This window comes from Homo sapiens, chromosome 6 (assembly GCF_000001405.40).
Source record: "Homo sapiens chromosome 6, GRCh38.p14 Primary Assembly".
Taxonomy (NCBI): Eukaryota; Metazoa; Chordata; class Mammalia; order Primates; family Hominidae; genus Homo; species Homo sapiens.
Genome location: NC_000006.12, coordinates 79651647 through 79675737, shown reverse-complemented (window position 1 = coordinate 79675737; position 24091 = coordinate 79651647). Strand labels below are relative to the sequence as shown.

The following is a 24091-nucleotide window of genomic DNA, read 5'->3' as shown; positions in this document are numbered from 1 at the left end:
AGAATCACAGAGCAAGAAATGGGGAGAAAAGGACAAAAATTCAATGAAAGGATTTTGTTCTTTTTCAGAAAGAACAAAAATCGAATAGGTGGACATTAGAAAAAAAGATTAAAGTATTAGAAAATCAATGTAAGAAATCCAATATCCAAATTAATAGGCACTCAAGAGAAAGGGAACAAGGAAAAAAGTAGGGAGAAAATTTTCAGGAAAAATAATATAAGAACACATGTAATCAGCAATCACAGAATTTCTTAAAAGGCATACTGAGCACTCAGCACAATGAATGAAAAATAGCTCATACCATAGTAATTCACCAAAAGATGTGGTGAATGTATATATAAGAGATTAAAATTTTTCATAGAGTAAACTGACAAAAACATAAACAATCAAGGAAAATGGCATTAGACATCTCAATCGTAGCAGCGAAAACCAGAGGACACTGAATCAATATCATCAAAATCCTTTCCAACCTAGAATTCTGTACCCAGAAACTACCACTAAACCATAAGACTAGAATAAAAGCATTTTCAAAGCCTCGAAGTCCGAGGGACAGAAAACTGCTAGATTTTTGTTTTAAGCCTTCTAGCACTATTTGACTTATAGCTTTATTTTATTTTGAACTATATACTTTGCAAACATTTTCAGGTATTACTTCATTTAGGTCTGCAGGCACAAGAGTACATTTTATATCCTTGGTAATCATGAATAAAATACACCCTTGGTTACCACACACTTCTCTCAATAAAATATAAAATAATGATATTAAAAACCCCATAAAATAACAATTTTCATTTTTATATAATATGCTTAAGAAATGCTTTTGAAACGATCACAAAGACAGACATTATCCCTTGCTTAAAGATAAGAAAACTGGGGCTTAAAAAGATAAGTAACTTTCCAAAGGTGTCCCAGCCGACATAAGGCAGTACTAGTGCTCAAACTTAAGTCTAATGCCATGTTCAGGATTCTCCTCAGGATGCTACAGGTAAGAATTCTCTGTATAATCTACACATGGCTTTATATTACAACTTCTCATTCTCCATTACGCACGTGGGGGAAAGGATTGTTTTCTTTGAAGCCACCAAAGGCTGTTATTCCTTTCCTCCACGCTAATTACAGCCTAGCTATTTATTTAATCTCAAGCACCTCAGCTCTGTGGCTCCTTCTTCTTTAGACCGTCCTTAAATAACTATAGTACAGGTCCAAAAATAAACACTGACTTAGATACTTAGAGATATGGCAAAAGGCAAATCCTAACTTACTCATTAGAAAGAAGTTTCTCAATTATTTTTCTTAACCTAAGGAGTACGCAAGTAGGTAAATAGATGAAAGTGACTTTTTCATCTTCTCGTATGCTACATGCAGCAGGAAAGCACCTGATATATGTTCATATATGAGGTGCACTGATATTCTTAATGATCCCTCTGGCTCATTATCATAAGAAATGGAACTCTGGTTTACGATTAGCTATTAGCAGTTATTTATACCATAAAGGGATATTCAAAGATAATTATCCCCCTCTACTACTCTGCCCCCTAAAATGTATTAATCAAAAAATAATTTGATTAATAATTTAATAATTAAAATGATTATTTTTAATGCTTCAAAATTTAGAACATAATACACACATACATACATACATACACACATACACAGAGCTTCCCTTCCTACTTCTGTTTCCAAAGCAAAGACAGAGCTCAGATTGACAGACACACGTGCACTTACATTCACATACCACACAACCCTCGCACATACATACACAGTCCATGACCTTGGACTCACATCCCTTCTCAACTTCACCCTCTGTTAGACATGTGGATCTGAATGGGCATTGGGTGAAGAAGTCACAGTCTTCACTGGAAAAACCCACCTGCACTCTAGGTGGCATGTGTTCTGAACAATAAAAAGAAACAGCATGATAACAGTCTAGCCACTTACTCCACAGTATCGGTCGCCATTAAATATCTGAGGTGGCAGGGGGTTGCCCTGAGTGGGTTTCTTTTCCGGGGGGACGTTTTTGTACATCCATTGCCTCTGTTCTTCTGACATTGTGATATCCACCTCCTCAAACTCTATCTTGTTGGCTTCCAGAAATCTAACCACATCTTGCTGCTTCTTCTTTATCTAAAGAGAGAAGACAAACAAATAAGTAGATACGCTTATCTGAAACAGTATGTATATACTTCCAAACTGAACTAGATTTATGTCATTGATACAAAAAAAGAGGTGATTTATGTAGGTGTCATGCACTGTCCACTCACTAGATATCCAGTGGAAGACTGAGCCAGCCCCAACACAGTCGTTTCTTTGATGTTGTTATTGCTATTTTGAGATGGGGTCTCTCTATGTTGCCCAGGCTGGTCTCAAACTCCTGGGCTCAAGTGATCTACCCACCTCGGCCTCCCAAAGTGCTGGGATTACAGGTATGAGCCACTGCACCCGGCCACTAACACGGTCGTTTCTTCAACCTAGACTCCCCAGAACTCTGGAGCACAATTCAGGTAGCTTGGAAAGAATGGACTATGAGATGACAGAGTGCCTTAGTTCTCAGTGGGCCATAACCACTCCCCATCCCACCCCAACCCCACCCTCACCCTTGCAAGAAGTTGACATCTATGGTCATAAAAGCTCCCTTTGCCCAAAACCATCTGAAAACCACGTATAGACTATCTGAGATGTTGACATTTCATTGATTCATGACAGCAGCAACATTTTTATTCCCCTCAGCAGCCTTCTTCAGAAATTCCACAGCTGTAGCCACTACCATGAAAGCATCCTTTCATCAGTTCACAGGAGAAAAATGTTCTCCACTTCTAAGGTGAGAGTAAACAAAGAATATCATCTTACTTTGAACTCTGTTTCTTAACCCTTTTCATTCCTCTGATCTTTCACTTTTCCTTCTTCAGTCACTAGGGGTCAGATGTGCTCTTGAGGAGCTGCAAATCCATCTCTGCAAAGTTTTCAAAATGTTGCCTACCTTCTTAATTTAAGAGTACATACTAATTGAGATGGAATGAAAACACAATAGTCTCTCCTTATCCATGGGGGATACATTCCAAGACCCCCAGAAGACACCTGAAATGACAGATAGTGCCAAACCCGTATATATACTATATTTTTTCAATCTGATGACCAGGAGGCATGTCCAGGTTTGTGTTTTAAAGAGATCACTTTAATAGTATGCAGCTTAAAAAGAAAAAAAACAGAAGCTCTGTATGTACTGTTAACATTGTTATGAAAAGCTCTCCAAGACATATTAGTAGGTTAAAAAGAAAAGCAGCAGAACTATATGTAGACTAAGCCCACTTTAAAAAAAAATGGAGAAAAATAAGAACGCATTTATATTTGCTTGTGTTTATACTGTTTTAAAAAATTCTTGAAGGTCATGTAAGAAACGAACAGAAGTGCTTATCCAAGGGCTAGAGGAGCAGGAATTGGGTAAGGAAACAAAGTGGGAGCAAGAGTTTTATTTTAAAATGTTTTGAAGATTATAATAAATGTGTTAATATTCAAAAGAGTAAAAAGAAGAAACATATTTTAATGAGAGAGAGGTGGCACCCTAGCTTCCACAGAACAGCTTGGAGGGTGGCAGTACACACCACAGAGATGCCCTGTTTTATACAAATCATGTTTTCCCAATGTGACATGAAGCAGAACTCAAAGCATTTTGTTGAGTCACTGGCCCCCATGATTCACTTATAAGAAAGGGCAGATGATTAAAAAGAAGACATGAAAAAACAAAACAGGTAAAACCTTAGAAAATTAGCTAGTACTAATAGCAAATCACCCAAATAACAAGGTAGGAGAAAGTTAATCCGTAGAAGGAAGTTTTCAAGTGGATGTTTATGATACTAGCATCAGGAAGGAAGATGTGTCACACTACCACAGCCTGTTTGTAAGGTCTGCAGAGGTGAACATGGCCTGGAACTAACAGCACCCACCCTAGGGTGGCGGGGGCAGGCAGTTCAGGAAGCAGGAACTTAGAGAAACACATCAGCCTACTGGGCGGGGCCCAGGTAACAGAGAGGCTTCCCATGCGGTAACAGGAAGCCATCAAGAGCACTTCATGTGCTGGGCTTAATTCCAGAGTCCAAATAGCCATAACATACACAATCATTTCCTTCACACAATGAATTTTTTTATTCTCCCCACATTTCAACTCTTCTGAAATGAAATGAATCTTACAATCAATATCAAAAGGAATTTCCTAAGCAAATGGAAGAGAAGTAAATTGTGGGCCAACAGTCACTGCTTTCACCTATGTCATTTTTTTGTTTTGTTTTGTTTTGAGACAGAGTTTCACTCTTGTTGCACAGGCTGGAATGCAAAGGTGTGATCTTGGCTCACCTCAACCTCCGCCTCCCGGGTTCAAGTGATTCTCCTGCCTCAGCCTCCAGTATGTGCCATCACGCCTGGCTAATTTTTGTATTTTCAGTAGAGATGGGGTTTCTCCACGTTGGTCAGGCTGAACTCGAACTCCCGACCTCAGGTGATCTGCCTGCCTCGGCCTCGCAAAGTGCTGGGATTATAGGCGTGAGCCACCGTGCCTGACCTCATCTATGTCATTTGATCCATGGGTGGAAGGTACCTTCAACTCACCTGGTTTTTTTTTTACTTAAACACCCTTGGAAGCAAAACAATGGTAGTTATTTACCCAGTAACCAATCTCCCTCTCTTTCTAAATACAGAAGGCTGGTTTTACTTAGAAAAGCAATGTGCTCAGCTACAACATCATGTTTACGCAAACACCTCTATTGTTAATCACATGACACAGTTCTGACCAATGAGATGTGAGGCAGACAGTCCTTGGGAAGGCTTCACTTAAATGAATGAAAACACAAAGCAGGCTTTTGCCCTTCTCTAGTCTGCTTACTTGCAGAAACGCAGATATGGTGCCTGGAGGTGCAGAAACCATTTCACAAATGTGAAAACAAACACCATAAATATGTGAAAATAATATATGCTCAAGCAGAAAGACAGTAGCCTGGGTCCTTAATGACATTTTGTAGCTGCCACCCCAGTCTCTTCATGCACAACCTATTCTACACCTTTCTGTATTAGACAAATAAACCCTTAATAAGTTACGCCACTCTTCATCCAGTTTTCTACAGCTTGCACCCAAATGCAATTCTTAATTGCTATTTAAAATGACTTCAGAAATACTGTATTATGATGAAGGATTGAAAATAACAGCTATAACTGCACAGTAGAGCCTGGCAATAAGAGCTGTAAGACATAAACTTAATATATGTGAGTGAATATTTGTCACTGGATAAACAGAGGAATTTTCTTAATTTACTCCATAGAGCAACAACCAACATGTTGGAGCTAAAACAGGCAGGTTATCTAAAAGGACGAAGAGTGCATTTCACCCTAACATTCAAACACTACTACACACCATACAAAGCAATTAAAGGGAACACAGAATCCCTTGCATTAGATTGGGAGTAGGCAAAATATGGCCCAAGGCCCAAATCCAGCCCACTGACCATTTTTACATGGCCTGCAGCCAAAAATGGTCTTTATATTTTTAAACAGTTGGGGGAAAAAAACAAAAGAATAATGGTATTCCATGACATGTAAAAGTTATATGAAATATAAACACCAGTGTCCATAAACAAAGCTGTATGGGAACACAGCAACACCCATTCACTCACATATTGTCTATGTCTGCTTTCTCCCTGCAATGGCAGAGTTCAGAAGTTACAACAGAGACTGTGTGATCCCCCAATGCCTAAAATATTGACTAGCTGCCCTTTATAGAAAAGGCTTGTCAACCTTTGAGCTAGATCACAGATCTTCACTTCCGGATCAAAGTTCCCTTTCTCAGTGAGCCCTCCTTTGACCACCTGATTTTACACTTTTACCACCTACCCCAGAACTCTCTACTTCCCCTCCACTGCTGTATTTTTCACCACAGCACTTGGCATCTGACAGACTGTAGATACTATGTATTTGTTTGTCCATCTCCCCCACTAGAATATAAATCCCCTGGCTGGGTGCGGTGGGTCACTCCTGTAATCCCAGCACTTTGGGAGTCTGAGGTGGGGGGATCACCTGAGGTCAGGAGTTTGAGACCAGCCTGATCAACATGGTGAAACCCTATCTCTACTAAAAATACAAAAATTAGCCAGGCGTGGTGGTGCATGCCTGTAATCCTAGCTACTGGGGAGGCTGAGGCAGGAGAATCACTTGAACCTGGTTGCAGTAAGCAGAGATCAGGCCATTGCACTCCGGCCTAGGCAACAAGGGCGAAACTTTGTCTCAAAAAAAAAAAAAAAAAAAGAATATAAATTCCCCAAGGCCAGGAGATTTTGTCAGTTTTATTAAACATTTGTTAATGACTAGACAAGACGTTCACAGGTAGAAAGGCCTGTGAGATAGGGAACTTTCCTCCCAACCAACAACAGGGCTGATTCTTTTATCCTTGAGGGCTCACCTTTAAGTATCACCTCTTCAAAGAGCCCTCTCTAACAACCTTGCTGAAGTTTTATTGCCTAAATTTATTAAAATTTTATTTATTTATATGTCTCTTTGTTTTTGTTCTCACCTCTCTCTCTACAATGTCAATTCTGGAAGCAGAAGGACCAGCGTGCAGGAGGCCCTCAATAAATATTAACTGAATGGATGATTCAAGAATTATTCCAGTCCTAAACATCAAAGATTTCCAGGTGATGTTCAAGAGAAACTATTCAAACTAAGTGAGTAATTTAATTTAGGAACAAATGTAACTTACATTTAGCCCAACAGGAAAGTGGATCAAATGACAGTATTTCTCAATCCCAAAGCAGCACAGTTTTGAAAAGCATTGTGCTTAGGATGCTACATCTAACTGTACATAGCCGAAATAATTCAGAAGAGTCTCTAGACCCTGATGCGAAAAAAGACTTTGCTTCTAACTCTGACAGTGACTGAAAAAGAAAGTAGTATGTGGTTGCATGTTTAAATAAATTCTATTGTCAGTTAATTTTAATAGTTGCAAGTGCATAACAAAACAAGAAGTGTTTTGTTTTGCTCAAATGGTTTTATTAAATTGTTGATACATTTATAAATATGGCAATTGAGATTCAGGGTATTTCCCTGAATCTGCTTCCCATTACGACCTTAGTACTCTATTACCCTCAACCACTCCCCCCCACTAACTTCAGGAGCTCTGAAGCAAACTCCTCCCTCAGATGTGCTTTGAAGCAGCCTTGTTGGCCACTGAATGGATAAGCCTTTACCCTTTGACTCCAGATCTGTGAATCTCCTGAGGACCCCAATGCCTGCACCCAAGCCCTCGTGACTCACCCCCACAGGGCCCTGGGGAGTAAGCTGCGGGGTCTCCTGACTCCGCATGAAGACTCAATGACCCGTGGAAATCTTAGTGAAGACACTTGGAACCTTCACTGGCAACCTCCTGGCTCCTAGAGTCCCTAGGGATTTGATTGGAAGACAGGCTAAATAATTACCTTGCACGTGACTCAGCCTTAACCCCCTACTCTGTGGCACTGACTGCTAAGTAAACTTGCATGCCTCTACTCTCTTCTTGTAGGATTACTTCTTTCCCGGGAGGATCCCAGTTAACTTATATAATTAAGCAGCCCCTGCCAGATTCCTTCCATAGGCTTCCAGACACGTCTAGCCATGTTTGAATTCCAGGGTATACATAGCTGATGCTGCACCATGGGACTCACTAGCTGATGCTGGAACCTTGGGACTCACTAGGAAATAAAGAGACATAATCAATTTGAATAAGAGTTTTTTTAACATTGAGATTGAATAAGAACAATAATGGGAAACAAGTTTATCTGAAGACAAATGAGCCACAGAGGACAATGAGGAAAACTGGGGGGAGGTGGGGCCGGGGGAAGTATATATTTTAGAGTCAGATTGTCCTGGTTTTAATTTTGACCCTGACAGATGGGTAGCCTTGGAGATATTACTTGGCATCTCTCTTAGCTTCCATTTCCAAACCTGTGAAATAAACTGCTAAATTAAGTTTAGCCTAAGGCCAGGAGCGGTGGCTCACGCCTGTAATCCCAGCACTTTGGGAGGCTGAGGTGGACAGATCACCTGAGGTCAGGAGTTCGAGACCAGCCTGGCCAACATAGTGAAACCTCATCTCTACTAAAAATACAAAAATTAGCTGGCTGTCATGGCATGTACCTGTAATCCCAGCTACTCAGGAGGCTGAGGTGGGAGAATCCCTTGAACCCAGGAGTCAGAGGTTGCAGTGAGCTGAGATCACACCACTGCACTCCAGCCTGGGCGACAGAGTGAGACTCTGTCTCAATTAAAAAAAAAAAAACTTAGCCTAAAGCTACCTCCTTACATATTTTGAGTTCAGCCTAAAGGTTGCTCCATCCATAGTGAACTGTAACCTAACTAGATACGTAAACAGATTGTAACCTACTCTTGGACCAATCACAGCATTTCAGCCAATTAAGGCAGCCAACTATTCGAACTGTGTCCAAACAAGGCAAGCGCCAAGCTGTAACCAATCTAACTTCCATTAGATTATTCCCGTTTTTGTACCTAACTTCCTTTTTCTGTACATAAATTCTTTGTGACTATGAAGCAGTGTCAGAGTCCTTCTGAACCTATGCTGGTTCAGGGGGCTGCCCAATTCACAAAATATTCTTGGTTCAGTAAAACTCTGTTAAATATAATCTGCATAAAGCTTTTCTTTTAATAGAACCCAATTATCTTTTTTCCATAGGTTCACTGGAAAATTAAACAAGAAAAGGCCTAAGCAGTAATGGGCACCTGCTCAATTGTTTCATTCACTCAAACATACTAGCTTTTCTATCTTTGCCCTAGATGTGGCCTCTGTCAAAAATATAGTAACTTCTGAGTGCTTTCAAAGGCTTTAGATATTCAACACAACAGTTCTTTATTTCACCTGCTTTCACACTTCAAACACACAGCTTTCTTTATTCTGACTTGGGGTAGATGTAAGGCTGATTAGGACCTCTTATGTATCTCAAATAGAAAAAAGTCAGACAGTGAGAGAAAATAGAAGGGAAAAGTTTTTTTTAAAACAGCTTGACGAAACTTACAAAGGAGGGCCTGGACTGGATTAAGGAAGGTAGAAGGCCCTAAGTTGATTCTTCCTTTCAACTAACAAGGGAGGAAAGGGCTGAGGCTCTTTCCCTTGTCAAAGACCTCAGGAACTTTCCAGTGATTGAGTAGGGTACCTCAAATATACCTAATTTCATGGCAAATTCTTTAAATAAAACACCATCCTTGGCCTTATTAGGGATTATGCTGTCAAAAAAGAGGATGCAAATGGCAGAAAGTACTGTGGCAGACATTAGCCTAGTTACACCAAAGCCATTCATGATCTGCCCTGTGAAGTCTAAAAAACTAAAGCTCAGTGTACTAGGTGGAGCTTCTGGACAGAGCTTGGCTTTTCTGCTGAAGCCGACAGATTACAATGCTAAGGCCCCTTGTCCCTGCCCTTCCTCATTCTTCCAGCTTGGCATCCAGATGTGAGGGCTAGTGGTGTGGGGCAGCCTTTCCACGTTGAGGTGACAGGCATCAGAAAAGGCCAAGAGAATCCCAGCAAGGCAGGCCCTCGACAAGTTCAGCCTCCAGACTTACCAGGAGAGACTGAAACACCTCTGTTTAAGCTCATGTTAGACAGGTTCTCTGTTACTTGCAAATGAACACATTCCTAACTGAAACCCTCAGCAGTACGCCTCATTGTTGGGGAGCAGGGCAGGGGTGTAGAGTAACCCCCAAGAAGCCATTTGCTAACTGGCAATGTTCTAATGCTGCTTAACTAAATGAGAGATTATACATAAAGTACAGTGTCTCCAGTTTCTATTTCAGTTTATCTTACTAGAAAGCAAATACCAGATTACCAAGCCAAGGATAAAGAGGCTGACTTACAAAAGACTGAAGCTTGAGTTTTACAGAATCCCTGTCAGAAAGACAGATTATAAAATAAAGGTCAATTTTTGAAAAACTGTTAGTACATGTTATAAATTGAAACAATATAATTTTAATGATAGAAAATGCTGTGGTTTTCCATCTATGTATCACTAGCACAGTCCCTGGCACTTACTACATGGGCAAATATTTGTATTAAACAAATAAATATTATTAAGCTTGAATTCATACTTTTAACTTTGGTTTTCTTTTTAACCAGTCAATATTTTTGGTCCTGTTTTCTTGATCAATTTGCATTGGTTTCTTTTTTACATGTTTATAATATGGTAAATCATCTTTCCCATTTGAAATTTTTTAATTTTAAAAAACCCATAATCTCATCACGCTGAGGCTTTTATTTTTCATAGAACCTTCCAGGGAGCCCACATTTAGAAGTAGACTTTATATAGTTGCCATAATAACAAATGTTTTGGGGAAGGATGTTTCTGTTGTATTACGAATATTTTTTGTTTCTAAAATCTCCATAGCTATCTTATTGCATGTATGAATTATATTGAGTACTTATGCTAATGTATTTAAACATTATTCTAACATTGGAGATTTAGGTGTGTTGTAAAGATGGTGTTTCAAATTTGCTGAATTTTTATTTTTTTATTTATTTAGAGACGGAGTCTCGCTCTGTTGCCCAGGCTGGAGTGCAGTGGCTCGATCTCAGCTCACTGCAAACTCCTCCTCCTGGGTTCAAGCGATTTTCCTGTCTCAACCTCCTGAGTAGCTGGGACTACAGGCGCCCGCCACGACGCCTTGCTAATTTTCGTATTTTTAGTAGAGACGAGGTTTCACCATGTTGGTCAGGCTGGTCTCAAACTCCTGACCTCATGATCTGCCCTCCTCAGCCTCCCAAAGTGCTGGGATTACAGACGTGAGCCACCATGCCTGGGCAACTTTTTCAATGATAACAAATGGTTATTAGTAGTAGGCTACCTAGCAGTACTAAAACACAGGGACTTTACACAGATTTTTCTAAATCTTGTCTCCTAAAGTCTTTCAAATGAAATATTTCAGTGAATTGTTTTAATGTAACATCTTTCCGTCTTTCCATTGGTTTCCTGGAATAGCTAATTGACATCATGGAACATAACATGATTTCAACTATCAAACTGTTAACAAAAACCTTTATATGACTGATGAATGGGAAGTAGTTCTGGCTGCTGCAAGTGGGACACTGAGGTCTGTGTGGGACACTGGTTGGTCTGTGAACATGTGGCTTTGCTGGACTGAACACAGTGACAGTGACACCAAAGGCAGCAGCCTGAACCTCAATTGGGCCAGTTGGCTTTATTAATGTTCTAGTCCTGAACAGTCAAAAAGGGTTGGGTCTGTGTCACCTTGGCCAAGATACTTATTCTACCAAAGCCTTGGTTTCCTCATCTGTAAAACACAGATAATAATTCAGCATAGAGAACTGCAGTGAAATTTAAATGTCATAATGTTCATAAAGTTCTTAGTGCAGTGCCTGGCATGCAAAAAGAGCTAAACATTAAATCCAATCACAAGTCCGTTCCAAGGTGGGTGAATAGGAACAGCTCCAGTCTGCAGATCCCAGCGTGATCGATGCAGAAGACAGGTGATTTCTGCATTTCCAACTGAGGTACCTGGTTCATCTCATTCGGACTGGTTGGACAGTGGGTGCAGCCCACGGAGGGCGAGCTGAAGCAGGGTGGGACGTCACCTCACCTGGGAAGGACAGGGGTTGGGGGATTTCCCTTTCCTATCCAAGGGAAGACATGACAGACTGTACCTGGAAAAACAGGACACTCCCACTCAAATACTGTGCTCTTCCTAGGTCTTAGCAACTGACAGACTAGGAGATTCTCTCCCATGCCTGGCTTGGCAGGCCCCACGCCCTGGTAGTCTTGCTCCCTGCTAGCCCAGCAGTCTGACATCAACCTGCGAGGCAGCAGCCTGGCTGGGGGAGGGGCGGCCGCCACTGGGGAGGCTTGAGTAGGTAAACAAAGCCACCAGGAAGCTCAAACTGGGTGGAGCCCACCACAGCTCAGCAGGGCCTACAGCCTCTATAGACTCCACCTCTGTGAGCAGGGCATAGCTGAACAAAAGGCAGCAGAAACTTCTGCAGACTTAAACGTCCCTGTCTGACAGCTCTGAAGAGAGCAGTGGTTCTCTAAGCACGATGTTTGAGCTCTGAGAACGGACAGACTGCCTCCTCAAGTGGGTCCCTGATCCCTGTGTAGCCTAACTGGGAGACACCTCCCAGTAGGGGCCGACTGACACCTCATACAGGCGGGTGCCCCTCTGGGACGACGCTTCCAGAGGAAGGATCAGGGAGTAACATTTGCTGTTCTGCAATATTTGCTGTTCTGCAGCCTCTGCTGGTGATACCCAGGCAAACAGGTCTGGAGTGGACCTCCAGCAAACTCCAACAGACCTGCAGCTGAGGAAACTGACTGTCAGAAGGAAAACCAACAAACAGAAAGAAGTAACATCAACATCAACAAAAAGGACATCCACACAAAAACACCATTTGTAGGTCACCAACATCAAAGACCAAAGGTAGATAGAACCACAAAGATGGGGAGAAACCAGAGCAGAAAAGCTGAAAATTCTAAAAACCAGAGCACCTCTTCTCCAAAGGATGGCAGTCCCTCGCCAGCAATGGAACAAAGCTGGACAAAGAATGACTTTGACGAGTAGACAGAAGTAGGCTTCAGAATGTCGGTAATAACAAACTTCTCTGAGCTGAAGAAGCATCTTCTAACCCTTCGCAAGGAAGCTAAAAACCTTGAAAAAAGGTTAGACAAATGGCTAACTAGAATAAGCAGTGTAGAGAAGACCTTAAATGACCTGCTGGAGCTGAAAACCATGGCACGAGAACTTCGTAGCACATGCATAAGCTTCAACAGCCGATTTGATCAAGTGGAAGAAAGGATATCAGTGATTGAAGATAAAATTAACAAAATAAAGTAAGAAGACAAGTTTAGACAAAAAAGAGTAGAAAGAAATGAACAAAGCCTCCAAGAAATATGGGACTATGTGAAAAGACCAAATCTACGTTTGATTGGTGTACCTGAAAGTGATGGGGAGAATGGAACCAAGTTGGAAAACACCCTTCAGGATATTATCCAGGAGAACTTCCCCAACCTAGCAAGGCAAGCCAACATTCAAATTCAGGAAACACAGAGAACACAACAAAGATACTCCCGAGAAGAGCAACTCCAAGACAACTAATTGTCAGATTCACCAAGGTTGAAATGAAGGAAAAAAATGTTAAGGGCGGCCAGAGAGAAAGGTCGGGTTACCTGCAAAGGGAAGCCCATCAGACTAACAGTGGATCTCTCAGCAGAAACCTTACAAGTCGGATGAGAGTGGGGGCCAATAGTCAACATTCTTAAACAAAAGAATTTTCAACCCAGAATTTCATATCCAGCCAAACTAAGCTTCATAAGTGAAGGAGAAATAAAATCCTTTACAGACAAGCAAATGCTGAGAGATTTTGTCACCACCAGGTCCGCCTTACAAGAGCTCCTAAAGGAAGCACTAAACATGGAAAGGAACAACTGGTACCAGCCACTATAAAAACATGCCAAATTGTAAAGACCATCGATGCTATGAAGAAACTGCAACAATTAATGGGCAAAATAACCAGCTAACATCATAATGACAGGATCAAATTCACACAAAACAATATTAACCTTAAATGTAAATGGGCTAAATGCACCAATTAAAAGACACAGATGGGCAAACTCAATAAAGAGTCAAGATCCATCAGTGTACTGTATTCAGGAGACCCATCTCATGTGCAGAGACACATATAGGCTCAAAATAAAGGGATGGAGGAAGATCTACCAAGCAAATGGAAAGCAAAAAAAATAAAAAATAAAAAAGCGGGGGCTGCAATCCTAGTCTCTGATAAAACAGACTTTAGACCAACAAAGATCAAAAGAGACAAAGAAGGCCATTATATAATGGCAAAGAGATCAATTCAACAAGAGGAGCTAACTATCCTAAATATATATGCATCCAATACAGGAGCACCCAGATTCATAAAGCAAGTCCTTAGAGACCTACAAAGAGACTTAGACTCCCACACAATAATAATGGGAGACTTTAACACTCCACTGTCAGAATTAGACAGATGAATGAGACAGAAGATTAACAAGGATATCCAGGACTTGAACTCAGCTCTGCACCAAGCGGACCTAATAGACATCTACAGAACTCTTCACCCCAAATCAACAGAATATACATTCTTCTCAGCACCATATCGCACTTATTCTAAAACTGACCACATAATTAGAAGTAAAGCACTCCTCAGCCAATATAAAAGAACAGAAATCACAACAAACGGTCTCTCAGACCACAGTGCAATAAAATTAGAACTCAGGATTAAGAAACTCATTCAAAACCGCACAACTACATGGAAACTGAACAACCTGCTACTGAATGACTACTGGGTAAATAACGAAATGAAGGCAGAAATAAAGATGTTCTTTGAAACCAATGAGAACAAAGGCACAACATACCAGAATCTATGGGACACATTTAAAGCAGTGTCTAGAGGGAAATTTATAGTACTAAATGCCCACAGGAGAAAGCAGGAAAGATCTAAAATCGACACCCTAACATCACAGTTAAAGTAACTAGAGAAGCAACAAGTAACAAATTCAAAAGCTAGCAGAAGGCAAGAAATAACTAAGATTAGAGAAGAACTGAAGGAGATAGAGACACAAAAAAGCCTTCAAAAAATCAATGAATCCAGGAGCTGGTTTTTTGAAATGATCAACAAAACTGATAGACCGCTAGCAATAAACAAGAAAAGAGAGAAGAATCAAATAGATGCAATAAAAGATAAAGGGTATATTACCACTGATCCCACAGAAATACAAACTACCATCAGAGAATACTATAAACACCTCTACACAAATAAACTAGAAAATTTAGAAGAAATGGATAAATTCCTGGACACATACACCCTCCCAAGACTAAACCAGAAAGAAGTTGAATCTCTGAATAGACCAATAACAGGTTCTGAAATCGAGGCAATAATGAATAGCCTATCAACCAAAAAAAGTCCAGGACCAGACCGATTCACAGCCAAATTCTACCAGAGGTACAAAGAGGAGCTGGTACCATTCCTTCTGAAACTATTCCAATCAATACAAAAAGACGGAATCCTCCCTAACTCATTTTATGAGGCCAGCATCATCCAGTTACCAAAGCCTAGCAGAGACACAACCAAAAAAGAGAATTTTAGACCAATATCCCTGATGAACATCGATGCAAAAATCCTCAATAAAATACTGGGAAACTGAATCCAGCAGCACATCAAAAAGCTTATCCACCACGATCAGGTCGCCTTCATCCCTGGGATGCAAGGCTGGTTCAACATATGCAAATCAATAAACGTAATCCATCACATGAACAGAACCAACAACAAAAACCACATGATTATCTCAATAGATGCAAAAAGGCATTTGACAAAATTCAACAGCCCTTCACACTTAAAACTCTCAACAAACTAGGTATTGATGGAATGTATCTCAAAGTAATAAGAGCTATTTATGACAAACCCATAGCCAATATCATACTGAATGGGCAAAAACTAGAAGCATTCCCTTTGAAAACTGGCACAAAACAAGGATGCCCTCTTTCACCACTCCGATTCAACACAGTGTTGGAAGTTCTAGCCAGGACAATCAGGCAAGAGAAAGAAATAAAGGGTATTCAATTAGGAAAAGAGGAAGTCAAATTATCCCTGTTTGCAGACGGCATGATTGTATATTTAGAAAACCCCATCGTCTCAGCCCAAAATCTCCTTAAGCTGATAAGCAACTTCAGCAAAGTCTCAGGATACAAAATCAATATGCAAAAATCACAAGCATTCTTATACACCAATAACAGACAAACAGAGAGCCAAATCACGAGTGAACTCCCATTTACAATTCCTACAAAGAGAATAAAATACCTAGGAATCCAACTTACAAGGGATGTGAAGGACCTCTTCAAGGAGAACTACAAACCACTGCTCAAAGAAATAAGAGAGGACAGAAACAAATGAAAAAACATTCCATGCTCATGGATAGGAAGAATCAGTATCGTGAAAATGGCCACACTGCCCAAGGTAATTTATGGATTAAAAGCTATCCCCATCAAGCTACCAATGACTTTCTTCACAGAATTGGAAAAAAACCACTTTAAAGTTCATACGGAACCAAAAAAGAACCTGCATAGCCAAGACAATCCTAAGCAAAAAGAACAAAACTGGAGGCATCACGCTACCTGACTTCAAATTATACTACAAGGCTACAGTAACCAAAACAGCATGGTACTGGTACCAAAACAGAGATATAGACCAATGGAACAGAACAGAGGCCTCAGAAATAACACCACACATCTACAACCATCTGATCTTTGACAAACCTGACAAAAACAAGAAATGGGGAAAGGATTCCCTATTTTATAAATGGTGCTGGGAAAACTGGCTAGCCATATGTAGAAAGCTGAAACTGTATCCCTTCTTTACACCTTATACAAAAATTAATTCAAGATGGATTAAGTATTTAAATGTTAGACCTAAAACCATAAAAACCCAAAAGAAAACCTAGTCAATACCATTCAGGACATAGGTATGGGCAAGGACTTCAGGACTAAAACACCAAAAGTAATGGCAACAAAAGCCAAAATTGACAAATGGGATCTAATTAAACTAAAGAGCTTCTGCACGGCAAAAGAAACTACCAGCAGAGTGAACAGGAAACTTATAGAATGGGAGAAAATTTTTGCAATCTACCCATCTGACAAAGCGCTAATATCCAGAATCTACAAAGAACTTAAACAAATTTACAAGAAAAAAACAACCCCATCAAAAAGTGGGCAAAGGATATGAACAGACACTTCTCAAAAGAAGACATTTATGCAGCCAACGGACACATGAAAAAATGCTCCTCATCACTGGTCGTCAGAGAAATGCAAATCAAAACCACAATGAGATACCATCTCACGCCAGTTAGAATGGCAATCATTAAAAGTCAGGAAACAACTGATGCTGGAGAGGATATGGAGAAATAGGAACGCTTTTACACTGTTGGTGGGAGTGTAAATTATTTCAACTATTGTAGAAGACAGTGTGGGGATTCCTCAAGGATCTAGAACTAGAAATACCATTTGACCTAGCAATCCCATTACTGGGTATATACCCAAAGGATTATAAATCATGCTACTATAAAGACACATGCACACATATGTTTATTCCAGCACTATTCACAATAGGAAAGACTTGGAACCAACCCAAATGTCCATCAATGATAGACTGGATTAAGAAAATGTGGCACATATACACCATGGAATACTATGCAGCCATAAAAAAGGATGAGTTCACGTGCTTTGCAGGGACATGGATGAAGCTGGAAACCATCATTATCAACAAACTATCACAAGGACAGAAAACCAAACAACGCATGTTCTCACTCATAGGTGGGAACTGAACAACGAGAACACTTGGACACAGGGCAGGGAACATTACACACTGGGGCCTGTCGGGTGGTGGGGGCCTGGGTGAGGGATAGCATTAGAATATCTGATGTAAACGATGAGTTGATGGGTGCAGCAAACCACCATGGCACATGTATACCTATGCAACAAACCTGCACACTGTGTACATGTACCCTAGAACTTAAAAGTATAATAAAAATAAATAAAATAAATCCAATCACTTCATTTAGTTCCTTAACTGAAACTTGGGCAGGTGTCAGAATTTACAGTCTACTGTTCTTCAGTTTAAAGGAATATTTTAGAACCGATCAAAAAGAGGTTACTACCGCCCTGCCCGTGGCTGGATGCTTCTTCCTATTAACTTGAATTAAATCTAATCCACTACTAACAAATTATTATCTGTACATATTTTCCAACTGGGAACTGTATTTTCAGAATAGGTTAGTCAATTCCCTTCACATTCCAGATCATACATTAATGAAACAATATTTGCTTTTAATTATTTGTATAATTTAAAAATGGCTAAGTAGGATAATACTAGAAGCAAATTAAAATTTAAAAAAAATTAATTAGCCAGGCATGGTAGCAGGTGCCTGTAATCCCAGCTACTCAGGAGGCTGAGGCAGGAGAATCGCTTGAACCCGGGAGGTGGAGGTTGCAGTGAGCCGAGATCACACCATTGCACTCCAGCCTGGGCAACAAGAGCGAAACTCCGCCTCAAAAAAAAAAATTAAAAAAAATTAACAAGTCTATAAAACCTGCTACCTCAAATTTAATAACTTTATTTCTCAAAACTATGTTTAAGTTTTAATTCCATAATTACCTGTTCATGTCAAAAGACTAAAATCAGCGTCTTCCACAGCCCTTTCTCCCTACAACTCCTCCACCACCAGCTACAAGAGCCACATCCTCTTCTGGTTTCCTAGTAACCACAAAGTCATCTCCTTTTCTTTCTTCTTCACTGTCTCCTTCAGCTACCAAATACTGGAAATTCTACTATTGCTTATATCTTACCTATTTCCCCCATTGCTACAGTCCCTTTCCTATCCCACTGATGCTGATACCTCCAAGAATTTCTTTACTGTCCTACTCTCTCCCATCTAAAAGCAGACAAGAGTGTTCTTCTTAAGCGTATATCACTGCCTTTTCAGAATTTTATACTCCTCATTGGCTCTTGATTTAAAAAAAAAAAGTTCCATAGTCTCCTGGTCCTACTCTCATCAGCGATTCCCATGTTTATCTCATCTTCAGAACCCTGGAATCTAATCTTGCTGCGCATTCCTTTCAGAATTGACTGCAACCTCAAACCTCTCGCCCCATCTCTTTTCTCTAAATTATGCAAATTCATCAGGCTTCAAAAGACTTGTACACACACCCCTAAGTCTAAACAATTTGGTGACACCTTTATTTCCCATTTTCTCATGTATGTTCTTTATTTTAATATATAGTTACTGCAGGTTCAGTGTGTGTGCACACACATTCATATTTATGTTACAGTTGTCCCTCAGTATCTGAAGGGAATTAGTTTCAGGAGCTCTCCCCAACCCCCATACCAAAATCCAAGGATGCTCAAATCCTTGATGTAAAATGGTGTAGTATTTGCATATAGCCTACACATATCCTCCCTTATACTCTAAATCACCTCTAGGTTATTTATAATACCTTATACAATGTGAATGCTATGTAAATAGTGGTTACCCTTTATTGTTTTTTAAATTTTTATTTTTTTATTGTTGAACTGTTCTTTTCTTCTGAATATTTTTCATCCATGGATGGTTGAATCCAAGGATGTGGAACCTGCAAATACGGAAGGGCCAACTGTACTTATGGTCCTTTTATGTATTGTGATACGTCGTCCCAGGAGTATTTTCCACATGGTATATACTCAAATGTTATCCCATGTTTCCTCTAGGAATTGCCTGGAAGAGTGGATTCTAGAAGGAAGAATGGGTGACTAAGATTTACTCACATATCAGAAAACCAGAAAATTCAGAAGATCTTAGCGATGGCACCACCACCCATTCACCAGCTTAATCTAGAAACCTGGACATCATCATTGACTCACCTTGATGATGCAATTAACCAGCAAGTCATGACCTCTCTGCTTTCAAATTTTTTCTTGAAACCATCCATATTTCTCCATTTTCACTGCCACTGGCCCATGCCAAACCCTCATGTCTCCTCTAGAGCTTCCTACATTTTCTTCTAGCTAGATTTCCTCTAAACCACTTTACACAGAAAAGCTAAAATGAATTTCTTTAAAAAACCTAAATTAGATGATTTCATGCCTCTGCTTTAAAAACCTTTCAGTACCTTCTCATTATCCTTAAGATGAAGAAAAAAGTCCATACCCGGGCCCAGGCAGTGATAAGAAGTGCCCAACTCTCCAACTACCTTCCCCTCCCACTCCCTCTGCAGGTGGCTTTCCACCCTTGGGTGAATCTGGGTCACCTGGAGGGCTTGTTAAAGCACAGATTATGGAGGGGTGAATAGCCCCCAGAGTTTCAGATTCAGGAAGACTGGAATGGGGCTCAAGAATCTGCATTTCATATCTTTAAACAATGGAACATTATCCAGTCATAAAAATGAAGTACTGATACATGTACAACATGGATGAACTTTGAGATCATGCTAAGAGAAAGAAGTCAGTCATAAAGGATCACATATCATATAATTCCATTTGTATGAGATGTCTAGAATAGGTGACCATGTAGACAGAAAGCAGATTAGTAGTAGCCTTGGGCTGGAGTGAGAAAGGTGGGGGGCTTGGGGACCCGTTGCTAAAGGGGTGTGAGATTTCTCTGTGGGGTAATAAAATGTTCTTAAATTGTGGTGATAGCTGACAATTCTGCAAATATCCTGAAAGCCACCGAATTGTATAGTTTAAATAGTTTAAATGGTATGCTAATCATATCTCAATAGTGCTGTTTAAAAAAAAAAACTGAATTTGCAAATATAACAAGTTCCCAAGTAATGCTTAAGCTTAAGGGGCCACTGCTCTACACTAACCCTATGCAGTCTCCCTTCATCTGCTCAATCGTACCCATGGTACAAAAGTAGTTTAGGGGAACCACGAACCTTCCTGTATCAAAACTTCCCATAAGGTAGTCAGCAGCCCATGAAACCTCTTTCCAGCTTCACCTAGCTAACTCATATGCTCCCTCTTATGCCCTCAGCTTTAAGGTCACCCTCTCAAGTAAATCTTCCCTGACAAAAGCACCCAGGTATTGCACTACTGCATTCTAGACTGGGTGCTAAAGTGAGACCACATCTCCGACCCCCCCACACAAAAAAAACACCCAGGTTAGGTAAGAGTTTTGCGTGTAAACATTTTCACTGTGTCATTAATTCCCCCTTTATAAGATTAATTACACTTTTAATGAATTAAGTAATAGCTTACTTAAAGTGTACCTTCCTGCTAGGATGTAAACCAGGTTAAGACAAGGAAGAACTGCCACAGTGTTCTCAGACAGATTCCCAGGGCAAGCCATAATAGAATCAGATATCTGCACCGAAGAGGAATAAAAGTAAAAGGGATCAAACCTTAACACCACCCCCCTCAAGCAGGTACATGACACTTCCAATCCCACCTGCTATTTCGTCCTTTTGTCCAGGTGTGCATCAAGTTCTCTAAGAGGAAGACAAAGAAACATCTATCAAAATATTTCTCCTAGACCTCTTGAAGCTTGTAGGGAGAGTAAAAGAATAATACAGCCAAGAACAACAACCAAGATGAAGCATAAATTTATTCGGTGGGTTTAATTCAGCTCACCTTTGGCTTAGCAAACCCAACAAAATCGTGATCGAGATGGAACAACAAAAGCATTTCAAGTTAGGGGGTTCACCATCGGTCTTTATCTGTAAAGGAGTAGAAACTATGAGAAAAGAAAACAGAACAGGGACTAAAACAGCATTTGTAAAAATCAAAACAAAGATTCTGAACTCTGAGCTACAATGCACATATTGTCAAACAAAATCCCACACAAATTCCATCCATTTGTTCACTGGAAAGGACTGGAAAATTCACTTGATCTTTAGCAAAAATAAATCACAGTGTGGTAATGCCACACCAAATATTCTTACCTTTCCTTCTCAAAACTTCAGTGAATACAATCATATTTCATAAATAAATGAATAAAATAGGATTGTAAGCCACAGTACTTCACATCAGCTATGTTAAAATAAGTGGCAATTGATTTGGAGTATTCTTTTAAGATTTGGACTATTAATGAAAAAAATTATTTCTTTTTTCATACACTACAGCAAGTTATAAAAGTGTTCACAAATTCTCTACCTTGTGCATCCACACCCTGACACTGTGACAACGCAACTATTCTCACCAAGAGATGGAGTTTACTTCTCCATCCCTTGAATCTTGATGGATTAGCAAGACTGATATAAACAGAATACTGAAAAGTACTTGGGGCTTTCCTTCTTACCACTATTAGAACCTTGAGACCACCACCAAGTGAAGAAGCTTGAGCTAGCCAGCGGGACAATGCAACATACATGGCTCAGTCACCCTGGCCAACAGCCAGACCATTCTCCACCCCAAAACCTGCTGCTGCCATCTCTGGGGTGCTTTCCAAATCTTTGTCGGTTTCATGTGTTTATGCCCACTCTTTCTTAAGCTCCTTTCAATTACTCTTTTCCATACCCCATCTCTTTCCTCACTTCACTGCTAATTCAGGCACAGACCCACTAACTTCACTATGAAAACAGTGCCAAGGGCACAGGCCTTTCTCTATTTACAGAAAATGTAAATGAACCAAAATGTACTCTCCTTTATTTCTTTAAAGGACAGCTATAAATATTGCCAAATAATCACAAAAGTTACTTTACGCCAGACATTAGACTGTTTACAAATCCCAACAGCCAGGACACACATAATTTGATGATAAGTTCTAAAATATATAAATTATACCTTCGAATAATTATGGTTCCAGGGTAAGCAATTAGAAAGGTTCCTAAGTGGAGATAATCAGATGATTTAAAGACTGAAACCACAGAGACAGACAGAATGATATTAAATATGAATCACATGTGAAAGGGAACACACCCAATTTTATGTTAAGGTGAAACCAGCAGTTTGCTTCTTTTATTAGTAACGTGGATCGATGTTTTCTCAGAATAACTCGTTGTCTTTTTTGCTTGAAATTTTTGATCTTGTCCTGAAGACTAGCTGCTGCTAAAACAATGCTAACCTAAAGATATAGGAGTCTCTTTGACAAAATGACCTTCATGTTAAGGGGAAATGCTGTTTATCTACTCAGACATGCATCTGTGATGTTCATAGCCTTGTTTCAGTTATAATAGTTGTCTTGTTTTTTTCTTAATTGATTTTGTTAATAATACCTTAACACAGGGTAGGGAAAGGTGGCACAGTGTATTGCATTATATACATTTATCATTGATTTACCTAATGTTACATTGTAGATTAAACACTATTAAGTGTTAATACTTGAAAAGGAGCACTTATTATACCATAAGTCTTAGGAAATAATGTTTGTAATAAACTTAACTATGTTACATATCAGCAGGCAAAAATATAGAACGTTACATAGTGTTACATGATGTGATTATAGTTCCTGCTTTAAAAAAAAAATTTCTAAAAGTCACCCCCAACCCAAAATATCCACTGGGTCCCCCCTCCTTACTGCTAGGTCTATTCTCCTCTGCATGGAGGTTTTTCAGGCATTGATTCATCCTGAAAATATTTATTGAGTACCAGGCCTAAGATGTCAGGCACCGTGAGAGATCTCAGAAACCACTCTGACTCCATGCTCCATCTGGGCCATACCTAGCCTACCTCATGTCCTACTGTACACCTGAAATCCAATCTGGTTACAGCCTCTCTCAGAGTCTCAGTGGCCAAGGACCAGTTTGCTGTCGTTCTTATACTAATGTTCCAATCTGTTGCAGAATGATACTTTTATAAAACAAGAAACTAATTTCTAGAAAAATTAAATAACAAAGATAAGCTATAAACCTGAAGTTTTCATTACTATAGTTGATAAAATTACTCAGTAAAGTCGCTATAAAAGTTTCTAAATGATTACCCTCAATGGCAGTACTTACACTGGTAACACAGTTAAGTTCATGGACCACACTTTGAGTAGCCCTGCTGCAGACACACTTCTGAGTCTTCACTTTAAAGGTTCTTCTCCACTAAAATCCCCTCCATATTGTCCATACTTCCTATCCAAGTTCTATTTATTCTTCACAACTCAGCCTCAAATCCACACTGCACTCAACTAAGCCTACCCAGTTGTTCTTAATTGGAGGTGATTTTGCCCTCCTGGGGGACATTTGGCAATGTCTGAAGACATTTTTGGTGGTCACAGCTGAGGGAATTTGGGAGAAGGATACTACTGGCACCTATAAGTAGAAGCCAGGGATGCTGCTAACACATCCTAAAATGCACAGAACAGCCCTCACAATAATGAGTTATCTAGCCCAAAATGCCAGCAGTGCCAAGGCTGGGAAACCCTGATTTATCTAACCACTGCCCTCCAGAATCATCTCCTTCACCAAACTCCCATTTATACCCACGGTCACCACAAACTAGCATGTAATAATATACAGCCTTGCACTGTTTAATAACAGTTGCATGTGTCTGTGCCTCTTTCCCTGACAACCATCAACCTCTCTGGAGGATGAAGACAATGTGCACATCACATCTGCACCCCCATGGGTCTCAGTCAGG

General features: G+C 40.0%; 1 protein-coding gene across 5 annotated transcripts in view, besides 1 other annotated feature; it reads right to left on the bottom strand.

Moving 5' to 3' along the window:
- The window catches only part of SH3BGRL2 (SH3 domain binding glutamate rich protein like 2), a 166023-nt gene that overhangs the window by 27918 nt on the left and 114014 nt on the right, over window positions 1-24091 (bottom strand). For all 5 annotated transcript variants that reach the window (NR_171675.1, XM_047419391.1, XM_047419392.1 and 2 more), the window contains one exon: window positions 1939-2124. Coding sequence is in view for 4 of the 5 variants with exons in the window: in XM_047419391.1 (XP_047275347.1) it covers window positions 1939-2124 (186 nt within the window). In the remaining variant the exon portion in view is untranslated. The remainder of the gene's footprint in view (window positions 1-1938; window positions 2125-24091) is intronic.
- Window positions 11777-12389: an enhancer, noted in NCBI's record as "H3K4me1 hESC enhancer chr6:80373066-80373678 (GRCh37/hg19 assembly coordinates)". NCBI's record gives its function as "activates a minimal SCP1, AML or CMV promoter by ChIP-STARR-seq in naive H9 embryonic stem cells {active_cell/tissue: H9 hESC(naive)}" and the evidence as "EXISTENCE:reporter gene assay evidence [ECO:0000049][PMID:30033119]".